The following is a 14,453-nucleotide window of genomic DNA, read 5'->3' as shown; positions in this document are numbered from 1 at the left end:
TGGCCTGCTTTATTGCTATTGTGGGGGTGGGTGAGTAAAACCTTCAATATCTAATGTACATTTTCTAAAAAGGCTTTCCTCAATGTCATACCTGATAATTAAAAGTTGCTACAACTTTCTTATAAAACTCAGTAATAGCGTCTCCATTCAGTACAAGAGTTCTAAAGGAACAGCAGATGTAAGGCCAACTGGACCAATGGAAACAGCAGCCACAGGTGCCTCCAAGCCTATACCTGTACCTGAAAGAATGTCTCGGGGTCAACAAACTGAGGACAGCAACTCATGTTACCAGGTGAGTCCAAAACGGAAAGGAACTGCTACTAAAGCACAAATAATCTGGACCATTTTGCAGTGAAGTTCAGTGAAGCATTCCCTAGTTTGGGGATTCTTTTTAAGATGTTCATATGACCAAGGAAAAATCTAAAACCTTCTTTTATTGAATAACTTTTTATCTCAAATCACAAAGTGCTATACATTTATTATAGAAAGTTTCAAAAAGTCAAAAGAGAACAAAGAACAAAATTAAAATGGCAAATAATCCGCTATTACCCCACTGTCAATATTTTGGTATACTTCCTTTCCTATAAACATTTTAAAATTAGCTTAGACTACACTGTAAAATTTATTCATTATATAGTTCTCTATAGTTAGATTAAGAGCATTTTCCATTGTCATTGTAATTCTTCAAAAAACATCTTAATGGTTATATAATTTTTATTTAAATAAGCATAATATGATTTAACTCCACCGTTGTTGATATTTGGATTATTTCTAATTTTTGCTATAATTTAAAACTTCACTATTAAAATTCTTATACATTGTTCTTTGTAAACATCTCCAATTATTTCCTTAGGATACATTTCTAAAGTGAATCACAAGAATGAAAAGTACAAACATTTTTAAGGCTCTTCATGCTTATTGCAAAATTGCCTTTTAGAAAGGAATACCAAGTTAGGCTTCTAGTGAATGTAGCACCTTTCTCACAAGATCCTTGCTAATATTGACTATCGCCTTGTTTTAATTTTTGATAATTTTATCACTGGAATATATTTAATTTGCTTTAATTTGCATTTCTCTGACTCAGAGTGAAATGAAGCTTTTCCCCACATAATGTACAAGGCAACTGTATTTTTTCCTTCATCAGCACCTGCTGCCGTTTTTACTGATGAATCAGTTTGATTTACCAATGTATTTAAACTTTTTATATTTTGACTAGGGAAATCTTTCTTCCTAGTTATTTCCTTTTAGTCTTATTGATAATTTGACTTCCTACATATAAACTTTCAATTCTTATAAAAGCGTTAGTCTTTTTTTTTTTGAGATGGAGTCTTGCTCTGTCACCCAGGCTGGAGCACAGGGGCACTATCTTGGCTCACTGCAACCTCCGCTTCCCGGGTTCAAGCGATTATTCTGCCTCAGCCTCTCAAGTAGCTGGGATTCCAGGTGCCCGCATCACGCCCAGCTAATTTTTGTATTTTTAGTAGAGACGGGGTTTCACTGTGTTGGCCAGGCTGGTCTTGAACTCCTGACCTTATGTGATCTGCCCGCCTCAGTCTCCCAAAGTGCTGGGATTACAGGTGTGAGCCACCATGCTCAGTCTAAAAACATTATCAGTCTCTTTCTTTTTCTTTGTAATTTCTTTCACAGTTTTATGCTGGGAAAAATTTATTCATTGAGAAATCAAATGACTCTAGCTGTATTTTGTTTTAACATCATTTGATTATCTTGACACATAGCTTTTAAATCTATCTGGTTTTTATTCTGATGCATAATCAGAGGTAAGCTAAGAGAGTCCCCTATTCCTTTTTTTGAATAAATCCTTTCCTTTTTAATTTTTATCATGGTTCCTGTAGTATATACCAAAAAATTTGTCATTTTAGAATGTGTTTTAATGCTATCTATTCAGCTCAGTTGCTTTTCATTTTATTTTTACATAAGAACAGCATTATTTGAATTATTCTAGCTTTCTGATAGCCATTAACATAAAGCTAGTTTTCCCTTTTTATTTCATTTTGTTAACCAATTTATTGAGATACAATTGACATGCAAAAGCTGTACATGCTTGGGTGCAGTGGCTCACACCTGTAATCCCAGCACTTCAGGAGGCTGAGGCAGGCAGATCACTTGAGCTCAGAAGTTCGAGACCAGTTTGGCCAATGTGGTGAAACCCCATCTCTACTAAAAATACAAAAAGTTAGCCAGGCGTGGTGGCACACTCCGGTAATCCCAGCTACTCGGGAGGTTGAGGCAGGAGAATTGTTTGAACCTGGGAGGCAGAGGCTGTAGTAAGCCTAGATCACACCGCTGCACTCCAGCCTGGGTGTCAGAGCGAGTCCCTGTCTTAATAAATAAATATATAAATACCATTTAATCAGTTTTTTTTAAGAAAAAGAAAGCTGTACATATTTAATGTATACCATTTGATGAGTTTGGGGATAAAGGTGCACCTGTGAAACCATAAACATACCCATCACCTCCTAAAGTTTCCTCCCTTTATAATTATTATAGTTAATTTGTATGTGTGGTAAGAACACTACAAGATCTAATCTCTGAGCAAATTTTAAGTATACAATACACAGTGCTGTTAACTATAGGCACTGCTGTTTAGTACACCTCCAGAACTTGCTTATCTTGCATAACTGAAACTTTATACCCATTAACCATTTTCCCCCTTTTCATTTTTATATTTTTACGTATTAGCTATTATAACACAATTATTCTTTTTTAAAAATTTTAAATTCTGGGATATATGTGTTGAACGTGCAGATATACATGTACCATGGTGGTTTGCTGCACCTATCAAGCCATCATCTAGGTTTTAGGCCCCGCATGCGTTAACTATTTGTCCTAATGCTCTCCCTCCCCTTGCCCCCGACCCCCTGACAGGCCCCGGTATGTGATGTTCTCCTCCCTGTGTCCATGTGTTCTCATTGTTCAGCTCCCACTTATGAGTGAGAACATGCAGTGTTTGGTTTTCTGTTCCTGTGTTAGTTTGCTGTGGATGATGGTTTCTAGCTTCATCCATGTCCCTGCAAAGGACATGAACTCATTCTTTTTTATGACTGCATAGTATTCCATGGTGTATATGTGCCACATTTTCTTTATCCAGTCTATCATTGATGGGCATTTGGGTTGCTTCCAAGTCTTTGCTATTGTGAATAGTGCTGCATTAAACCTATGTGTGCAGGTGTCTTTATAGTAGAATGATTTATAATCCTTTGGGTTTATACCCAGTAATGGGATTGCTGGGTCAAATGATATTTCTGGTTCTTGATCCTTGAGGAATTGCCACATTGACTTTCACAATGGTTGAACTAATTTACACTCCCACCAAGTGTGAAAGCATTCCTATTTCTCCACAACCTCACCAGCATCTGTTGTTTCCAGACATTTTAATGATCATCTTTCTAACTGGCTTGAGATGGTATCTCATTGTGGTTTTAATTTGCTTTTCTCTAACGACCAGTGATGATGAGTTATTTTTCATGTTTGTTGGCCACATAAATGTCTTCTTTTGAGAAGTGTCTGTTCATATCCCTTGCCCACTTTTTGATGGGGTTGTATAACACAATTATTCTTCTCAACGAATCTTGAAATCATTTCTAAGGTGCCAAAATTAATCCTATTAGTATTTTGGTTAGCTTTGCATTAAACCTATATGTTGATGTGGAAACATCTTTTATCTTTGTGATATTTAGGTTTCTCTATTTTTTCAAGTGTTTTTCTGTCTCTCAGTAAAAGGTTATACATAGCTGATTTCCTGTCATATTGTGATAATATTGTGAGTAGGGGCTTTTCCCACTGTATTATTTCTTAATTATTGATGATGATATTTTGGAAAGCTATGGCTTTTTGAATAGTTACCCTGAAAAGAGAAACTTTTCTGAATGAATTGTTTTAGAAACTCAAATATTGGTTTATTTTGAACATCTTGCTTCTAGGTAGACAATCACACAATCTGAAAAAAATATATATATTTAAATATATTTAAAGATCAACATATAAAATATAAATATATATTTAAATATAACATACATACATATATACACATATATATGTTTATTTACATATATACATATATATTTAAATACACTTAAATACAAAAATACATATATATTTAAATATATGTGTATATATATTTAAATATATATACACATATATACACACACACACACACACACACACACACACATATATATATATGTTTTTTCCCCTCCAATATTTAAACCTCTTGTTTCTATTTCAGGTCTTTATTCCTGAAAGACTCCACATCTTTCAGAGCAATGATAGATAATTCAAGAGATAATGGGGCAACTATTTTTAATGAGAGTAGATTTAGTGGGGGCATTTCTCTAGTGCTTTTCCTTTAGATATTACAGTTTTAGTTGTTGGCTCGAGATGGTTTTTAACGTAGAGGAAGTGTTTTTCTGGTCCTTGTTTTTAAAACTTTTTTGGGGGAGGTGTTTTGATTTACTTATTTAAAATCTGTTTTCAGCACCAACTGAAATTTTCAAACATTTTTTTCTTATTGGAAGTATTTCATTAATAGAGTAATAGTAAACATTTCTGGCATTGCTGCAACTAAAATCTACACTTGTTTGTAGATTATTCTTTAAACGTCCTTTAAATTTTGTTTTCTATTTAGAATTGCAACATTTATGAATCAGAATATCTCCCCACTCCATCTTATCTGCATCAGTTTTGAGCATTTGAGTTTTTATGGCTACATTAAACAACTGAGTCATATTTCATCTTTTCTTGTGTTTGAAATAATTTATCTAACATAGAAATTATTTATTTCTTTAACAATTGCTAATATTCAACAGTAAAGCCCTGGGCACTGGAGGCTTTATAATAGTTTCATAAATTTTTTATTTGTTCAAACTTAATAGTCTCTTCATGCTTTCTTCAGTCAACTTTGATGATTTAATTTTCTTGAAGGAATTATCTACTTTATCAAGATTTTCAAAATAATTAGTTAAGAAAAATATTTTAAGTGTATCATTTTATTTATTTTTCAAATCTTCAAATTTCTATTTGAATTCAACTCAAATATGCTCAACTTTTACTCCCAGAAATCAAGTCATTTTTTTTCCTAAAGATCATTTTTGTTTCTAAATATCTGCTAAGAAAATCTATAATATCCTCAAAATACACAACTACTGGTCAGCCTTTGGTCTATTTAATATGCCCAATTGCATAATTTTTCTGGAAGAGTAGAGTAGACCAGATAATTTGGATGTTTGTAAGGATAAAAGTCTATTGTAAATTGTCTATCCAGGTAAGAACTATAAATTAATTGCAACAGTAGTGTGCTGGTGTACTCAATTATAGTATAAATTATATTGCTCCTTTGTGGCATGTATTAGAAGACTCAATAGTGATGTCCTTAAGAAGACACAAAGCCTATTCTCATTTACATATGGCTGAGCAACATGAATTTTCTTTAATCTGTTGTCCCAAAAGAATGGGCAATTCTAACCACAACAATATGTGCCACCTCTGATATGCAACCAATGAACTGTGTTGTTTACCACGTTAGCGGACAAAGTTCAGCTTTGAGGGGACCATTTCTAAGATAGGTTGCATTCAACCCTGTCATCTTTAAACTACTACAGTGTCTATAGATATGAAGTCTCTGCCCAAGACTTCTGATTATAACTTACAGATAAGGCTTCCTTCTGCCCAGAGGGCCTTAACTTGCCAACTCAGTATCATAAGATCTTAGGTTATTTTAAAAAATCGGAGAACCGGCCAGGCGTGGTGGCTCATGCCTGTAACCCCAACACTTTAGGAGGCCGAGGTGGGCAGATCATGAAGTCAGGAGTTCGAGACCAGCCTGGCCAATGTGGTGAAACCCCGTCTCTACTAAAAACACAAAAATTAGCTGGGTGTGGTGGTGCGTGCCTGTAATCCCAGCTACTGGAGGGGCTGAGGCAGGAGAATCGCTTGAACCCAGAAGGAGGAGGTTGCAGTGAGCCAAGACTGTGCCATTGCACTCCAGCCTAGGCGACAGAGCAAGACTCCATCTCAAAAATAAAAAAATAAAAAATAGGAGAACCAATGCATGCATATGTCAGTAAAATGTTCAGAAATTTTAAAAAGGGAAGAGATAAGAAAGAAATATTCTCACTTACAAGTGGGAGCTTGGGAGCTAAATGATGAGAACACATGGTTGCATAGAGGGAAACAACACACACTGGGGCCTACTGGAGGGCAGAGGGTGGGAGGAGGGAGAGGATCAGGAAAATAACTAGTGGAAACTAAGCTTAATACCTGGGTGATGAAATAATCTGTACAGCAACCCCCATGACACACATTTACCTACGTAACAAACCTGTGCATCCTGCACATGTACCCCTGAACTCAAAATGCAAGTTTTTTTAAAAAAGAAAAATAAGATGGGGGAGTGAACTTTAAAAATACCAGTGAAGTTTTTTCATCAAAGAGATTAGAAATGCTATGTTTTTTTAAGTGTACATTCTGCAAATACTTTAGCATGTTTTCAATCAGCTGTTTATTTGCCCCCACATGTGTAACTCCACTTGTAAGCTTTCGTGCAATCATAATCAGTACAGTCTGAGCTTAAGAAAGGTTTTCAGAATATGGTCATCTGTAATAGTCAGAGAAAAACTGGAGTTTCCGTATTGCAGTTAAGTGTGAGTGGAGAGTAAGTCTTGTGACCATCCAGTGACAAGTGGCCACCTGTGTGTGATGTTTTATTGGGCCTGTCTGCATTTTACTCATCAGCTCATACAGACTGGGACACCAGGAGACACCCCTCATGGGACACCTGCCAAGACACAGGCATCATGCTAGAGTGTGCGACAGAGAGCTGGACTGATGTATGAGGACAAATAAGGAGCTACTCTATTTCCTGCTTCAAACAAACGAGGATGGAAAAACATTCACAATTCAGGCTTTTCTTCACTGTAACATCCATTTGTTCTGAGGGAGGAAATTTAAGAGCTGTTTTGTTCCTTTATTTCACTTTTCTTTTACTTCCCTCTCACCTTCATTATTAAAGTTGCTACATCCTATCTTAGGTATATAACATATTTTTATTAAAAAATGCACTTCATAGAAATAAGACATGAATCTGTTTGACGTATAAGAAGTTAAAATATTATAAATAAATCTAAGGTCCTTTTCAACCATAATTCTCAACCCAGGTCCAGTCCCTAATTCCCCAGAGGTAATCTGTTTGAAGTATATCTTTGCAGATCTTTTTCTATGCATTTTCAAGTGTGTGAGTGTGTGTGTATGTGTGTACGCGCATGCACCTGCCCAAAGGGGCAAATGGATAGTGTCTATTAAACTTAAAACCCAAGAACCTTGCACATGTGTACAAGGAGGCACATACGGCTATGTTTACTACAGCATTGCTTTTCATTTTGAAGATTTTGAAATATTGGAAACAGCTTATGCTTTCATTGCGAATGACTAAATAAACCATAGTGTCTATTCTATGGATATACCACCATTTGCACTAACCTGAAATGCTTCTCAATTGCAGAAAAATATGTACCACATAATACTGGTGCAAGAAATTCTTTTAAAGATTTTCTTCATATTAACAATATACATTAAATCACTGAGTTATTTGAGAATTTTAAGGTTTTTCATTGTTCTCCCTAAGTGTTAGAACACATAAATAAGTTTATAGCATATGTATACACTTTTCCTACTCTATCTCCACCATATATAGAGACTGAATAGAGGTAAACAATGGCTTATGAGAGTACAGTCATTTTACAAAGCCATGATATTCTGCAATTATTATTTGAGTTGTAATTATTTTAAAAATAATGTAAAGTTCGCTGATTCAAAGACTATGCTATGCACGTGGAAGCTGTTTAAGTATTTGAATGAAGAGGCAGTGGCACATTTCACTCAAAGGGGCTGCAAAGGGCACACAGCAACCAGAGAATGCGACTTTAAGTCTGTATATAGTTCAGTTTCTTCTTCCTGCTACTGCCCTTTTGCTTTTTCAGGCTGTTCCTGTGCAACAATGTTCCTAAAATGGCCAGCCCCTCTTCAGATCATTTGCAGGGATGGGAGAAGACTGCAGATTGTAGCCACAGCTGTTTATAAATGGAGTGTAATGAAATCCAATCTTTCATTCCGATGTGTGGGAGCCAAGGGCTGGAACATGGTGCCCCAGGAGCCTGGGCCAGACTGGGTCAGGTCAGAACTTGTCCTGGGGTTGCAGTTCAGGGCGCAGAGTGTGATGTAAGAGACAAGGTTTGGTGGGGAATTCCTAAGTGACAGCCAAGTTGACCATTATTTATTCAAAACACTTGGTGGATTTGAAAAGAAATGATGACTTTAGTGCACACGCAGGTAGCAAGCAAAGGAAAGACAAGAAAGTGAAAGTTAAAGGTGTATGGTAGAAGTAAGAGACTTCCTAAGCCAAGGGAAAGAAAGTGACTCAACTGCTTCCTGTAGATGCCTTTGGGGAAGAAGACATTCAGGGTAGCAACTTAACTTGAGCAAAAGACTATTGTGACGTTATTTCTAAAACCTAAAACTGTTTTAACTTCTTTTGTGAAATTGGATATGCAGTTGTACTTTGAGCATGTAAACATCTGCGTCATCATACACGAATGTAAACCCAAACAGCAGCCACTTTTTGAAATAGATTGAATTTCTTTGAAAAACATAATTATCATGTTCTTATATGGATTTTTAGGATGTGGATTAAATTCAAACCAAAAACTTATTTTTTTATTTCTTCCTTCTCTAGACCATGGTCAGCACTAGGAATGAACTGCCGAGGACTCATGAATCCATTAATGCTCTCCATAGAGAAAGAAGATAGGAGCCACATGAGTATGTGCAAATACCGACCACAGAGAGAAATCCATAGCATTTCCTTTGCTTTTAGAGAAAAATTTTCTACAAAAATTTTACCATTTTTTTTTAATTTGGGAGAAAATTTTAAGCCAAGAAATCCTGTGATTCCAATATGAAGGTTAAAGGGAGCTTTGACTGTATTTGAGTAGTTAAGCATAACAAAAATGACCAGGCTAAGTAAGTTTTGACTTTCGATTGCCTGATTTTATTCCTTGGAATTTAGTTAAGCACTTTTAGTGAAGTATTGATTCTTGTGTATATCTTGTGTTATGTATGTGTTTTACCTTCTTCTAAAGAAATCAGTACTTGTTATCCAACAGCATTCTAACTTTCTACTAGGTTTATTAGGCTGAATGGAAACTGTCTATCATCTTCTTATTGTGTCTTAAGGAACTAATCATCTCTTGAGCTCTTAGCTCCTGCTGTTATTCCTTTAGAAGACAGAATTCCTGGCTCCCCAGTAAGAAGTTTCCCCTGAGGGAAGACCTTTGTTTTCAGGCACAATACTTAATATCCAGTACATGTCCAATAAACTAGCAATTCTATGTATATATGTATGATGAGATATGCTTCCTAATCTAAATGTACAGAAGAAATAAAACATTTTCTAAATTCTGTGATAACTCAGGAAAAGGAGTTCAATAAACACTTTTAAAGTATCAAAATAATTTAAATATTAAAAGTAGTTTTCATCTTTTTCATGGAATAAGAAAAAGAAATTAGAAAACATTTTTAAAGCAGTAAAGCACTAGAAAGGCTATATTAAAATTGAAAATGTAGAAATAAAAGCAAATTTTAAAATTTAGTTTTTTTAACTTACCTTCTTAAAATGATTATTTAAAATGAATCATTTTAAACTAAATATTCCCTTTGATATAATCCATGTCTACTATTTACAGCATTTGTATACTGCTAAAGTATTTATCACTACAAAGTGTACCAAAGTGTAAGGCTGATTATTGAATGAAATAAAACATGAAGCTCCATCTTTGTTCCTGTCTGCACCATCATTTTTATCAATAATTTGGATGAAACTGTAGACAGCCCAATTCTCAAATGTGTGTGTGACATGATACCAAAACCCCTAGGTAATAAACTGAATTACAGTCTTGGATCACTGAGATGTAATAGACTGGAATAGTGAGGCAGTTAATAAAGACCAAATTTTAAGGGATTAAAGTCCCACAATTGGAGGCCCATGTGCACAAGTAGTGTGAAAAAGACCTGTGATATATGTGGTAGTTAACTGCAAGTTCACTGATAGTCAATTATGTCACTGATTATTTTAAAAGCAACAGTCTCAGACACATTAACAGAAAGAGTACTATTCAATTACTAGTTATCTATTATTAGTCTACACTGTGCTAGGTAAATTTATTAGTCCAATCTCACACTGCTGTGAAGAAACGCCTGAGACTGGGTAATTTATAAAGCAAACAGGTTTAATTGACTCACAGTTCCACACTGCTGGGGAGGCCTCAGGAAACTTACAATCATGGTGGAAGGCAAAGGAGAAGCAGACACCTTCTTCACAGGGTGGCAGGATGGAGTGAGGACAAGCGGGGGAAACGCCAGATGCTTATAAAACCATCAGATCTCGTGAGACTCACTCACTATCATGAGAACAGCATGGGGAAAACTGCCCTCATGATTTAATTACCTCCACCTGGTCCTGCCCTTGACACGTGGGGATTATGGGGATTACAATTCAAGATGAAATTTGGGTGGGGACACAGCCAAACCATATCAGTAATGGACAAATTAAATAACATTTAACTGCTTTGGGCATGATTAGCTTGCCTAGGGAGTATTCGTGTTTTCATTTGAACAGTTAATACATGGGAGATTCAAGCTGCTTAGCCTCCACCAGAAAGCAGGAATACAGATAAAGATATAAAAGTATAGAAAGGCAGATTTTATGTCGTTTGAAAGGAATTATTTCTTAGATAACCTGAATTGTTTGTTATGAGTAGATAATTGCCTGGAAAGTCCTGGGCTCCCAGTTGCTGGCAATATTGGCACCAGGTGATTTGTATTTACTAGAAACAACCCATAAGCATCTCTTCTTTAAAAAGAAGCAGAAGAAGAAAAGAACTGGATTTCTGACAGAGTCCTACCTTCTTTCACCTGGATTGTGGAAGGATAGGGATTTATGTCTTCTAGTTGTCCAGACCTGGTGGATAGGCCAGAGTGGAGGAAGCAGACATGGGTGGTGGACAACATGAGGAAAAGAGAGAGCCTGACATCGTTAGTGGTCATAACAAGCACAACACTTTGGGTCCAGAGAACACTGTTTAGACAGGCTGTCTGAGAATGTTTTTTTGTTGTTGGCTGTGTAAAATCCCTGGGCTGACTCCTTTCTGAGAAACCCATCATAAAGATATACCTGAAACTCCAATTACGAGCAAGGATTTTAGAGTCAGACTCCTGTTTCACCTGTGTGTGACTGTCTGGAAGTTAGAGGGCTATCTTTCAGAGATGCCTGCTTTGCATGGGAGCCCAAACTAAATTTCAAGACCTCCCCAAGCTCTATGCAATTAGGAATTTCGCAGGTTCTAACACTGAGAAATGTTGCATTTCATACCAGACAGCCAATTTCCACAAATTCCACAAATATGCTAACAGCAGTGATCAAATAAAATTACTTTATTTAGACAATTTTAGTTGTAAACCTACTATATGACAGGAACTATTTTAGGCCTGATCCAGAAGACATGTCAACACACACACACACACACACACACACACACACACGCACACGCAAAGTTGCCAGAATAAATAGACAATAAGCAATTAATTAAGGAGTAGAGTAGGTAATATATAAGTAAAATAATAAGCAAAGCCCATAGTCTGTCACAGTGTATGGCTGTCTAGAAATTTGAAGGCTGGACTCTTCAGGCTCTGTAGTAATTAGACATGGCAGAATGCCACAGAGACAAGTAAAGAAGGGAAGAGTTTGGCCATGCTGGAGGAGAGGTTGGGGTTGTCATTTTTGTATTCAAGTAGGGCAGTCAGATAATGCCTCACTGAAAAGGCGCCTTGAGAGCAAAGACTTGAAGGAGGTTGGGGAGGGAACTGAGCAATGAGCTGGGGAAGAAACAGCATCCAGGCAGAGGGAGCAGAAGAGCAGACTCTAAGTGGGGAACAGACCTGGGGTGTTCAAAGAGGAGCGAGGAGCTCCATATGGCCACAGGGCAGTGAATAAGCCGGAAAGCAAGAGATGAGGTCAGAGAGGGAAGGGGGGTCTGTGCCGTCTTTGTGGGGCTTGTCCACCTCTGTAAGGACTTTTGTTTACTCTAAATGAAGAGGGAGCCCCTGGAGGGTTCTGAGCAGAAGAGCAACATAGCTTGACTTTTGTTTTAAAGAATTGCCCTGATTACCTTGACTACTTGGTTCATATTTTTTTAGAGACAGGGTCTCTCTCTGTCAGCCAGGCTGGAGAGCAGTGGTGCAGTTATAGCTCACTGTAACCTCTAACTCCTGGGCTCAAGTGATCCTCTTGACTCAGCCTTCTAAGTAGCTGTGACTACAGGTGCCACCGCACTCAGCTAATTTGTGTGTGTGTGTGTGTGTGTGTGTGTGTGTGTGTGTAGAGATGAGGTCTTGCCATGTTGCCTAGGCTGGTCTCAATTTCCTGGCCTCAAGGGATACCCCAACTTGGCCTCCTAAAGCACTAAGATAACACACACACACACACACACACACACACACACGCACACCCATGAGTGAGTGCACCCAACTTCTTGGTTCATTCTTAAACCAATGAACAACTAGACAAAAAGAGAAGCCAAAGCAGACCTACAATCCATGAACTGCAATATTCTTCCTCCCCTGTGTTCCTGGTCAAGTGTTGGGTGTTTAGCCATGACGGGTGTACTTTCATTCTGAATGGAGTATTTCTAGACAAAAGGATAGTGTATAAAGTCAATATTCCTATTTAAGTAGCCAGTAGAGGGAAGCTGTCAAAAGTAATCTGTAATATGCGTGGTGAGTTTTCTGAAATACTTCTAAAGCCAGTGGAATGCTTAGTAGAATCATATCCATAATACACACAAAGGCAGCTGCACATGGTGAACAAACAGTGTCAACAATATTGATCAATGTGAGATAACAGTTGAGGCACAGGGTTTTCCAATAGCCAGGCATGGTGGTGTGCACCTGTAATCCCAGCTACTCAGGAGGCTGAGGCAGGAGAATCACTTGAACCCAAGAGGCAGAGGTTGCAGTGAACCAAGATCGCGCCACTGCATTCTCCAGCCTAGGTGACAGAGCGAGGCTCCATCTCAACAAAAAACACAGTTGAGACACAGGGTTTTCCAGCATCTTTTCCCACAAAAAGGACCGGAATACATCTTACCAGGGCTCTAATTAGTGTACTGGCCTCTTGCCCTTCCAAACCGCTCAAATCTGTTCTCTTTTCAGGCTCCTTAAAAAACAGTTAAACCAATACAAAGACAAGTTGCAAGCTATATACACCTCCCAGGAAGAAAGAATTTGTCGATTTGAAACAAGGATTCACAAACTCAAAACCAACCAGGATAGTCTATGGACCAAGCTACAACAGATAAGACGGGACCTACAGGTATAAAATGTGAGGGACACTGGCCATCTGGACTGCCTGGAAGTCTAACCTTGAGTCCTTCAGCCAAGGGAGGAGCTTCCCACCTTACTTTGATCAGCCTCTTCCCTTGCCTCTTCTCCCCGTACCCTGACCTCCCATTTCCTCATCCAGGCTATATCCTATCCCTCCATGAAGGCAGTGCCATTGAAAAACAACAGGATCTGTAATATTTACAAACAATAGACTTTGGGGCAAAGTGATTCTTTATAGCGTCGGTTTTTTAACCTTTTGATCTCAGGATCCCTGTACATTCTTAAAAATATTTGAGAACCCCGAGGGGAATTTGGTTCTGTGGTTATATCTTTTTGCATCAATATCTGTTGTTATAGATATAACCACAGAAACAAAATGAAAATGAATGAATGAAAATTAAATTAATAATAAAATAAAATTAAATAAATAATAAAATTACTGAAAATTAAAACTGAGTTGTTAAATAAATTAAATAAGTAATAAAATTAATGCAAATTAAAACTGAGAAGTTAAAATGTATTCACTAACTAAAACATAAAAATAATAAACCCATTAAATATACAGATAACATTTTTAAACAATATGTTTTTCTAAAAACCTTAGAAGAGTGGCATTGCTCTATATTTTCCACAAATCTCTTTAAATACCTGGCTTAATAAAAGACAGCTGAATTTTTGTAACCACTTCAGCAATCAATCTGCTGCAATGTGTTTCGGTTGAAGTATCTGAAGAAATCAGGCCTCACACAGATTTGCAGGTGAAAAAGAGAGAAGTATATTAATAGCCTTTCAGATACCGAGGCATACTTCTCTTTAATACTACACCAAAACATGATACATGACAGCTTCTTAAAGGAGACTTTAATCTGAAACCATATTTATGTCACGCTGTTTCATTAAAATCCAGTGTTCTTACATGGTCTTTAAGTGGGTCTCTTAGCCACGCATGATTGTGTAACATTATACATTGGTCATTTGGAAAATATTGGTTCACTGAGCTATAC

The 14,453-nt window shown here is 37.1% G+C and overlaps 1 protein-coding gene across 1 annotated transcript in view; it reads left to right on the top strand.

Moving 5' to 3' along the window:
• Positions 1–14,453, top strand: part of DYTN (dystrotelin) — a 66,776-nt gene that overhangs the window by 39,089 nt on the left and 13,234 nt on the right. The window contains exon 10 of the mRNA NM_001093730.1: positions 13,279–13,438. Within this exon, the coding sequence (NP_001087199.1) occupies positions 13,279–13,438 (160 nt within the window). The remainder of the gene's footprint in view (positions 1–13,278; positions 13,439–14,453) is intronic.

This window comes from Homo sapiens, chromosome 2, assembly GCF_000001405.40.
Source record: "Homo sapiens chromosome 2, GRCh38.p14 Primary Assembly".
Classification (NCBI taxonomy): domain Eukaryota; kingdom Metazoa; phylum Chordata; class Mammalia; order Primates; family Hominidae; genus Homo; species Homo sapiens.
Note: the sequence above shows the minus strand (reverse complement) of the source record. Positions and strands in the feature narration are given on the sequence as shown.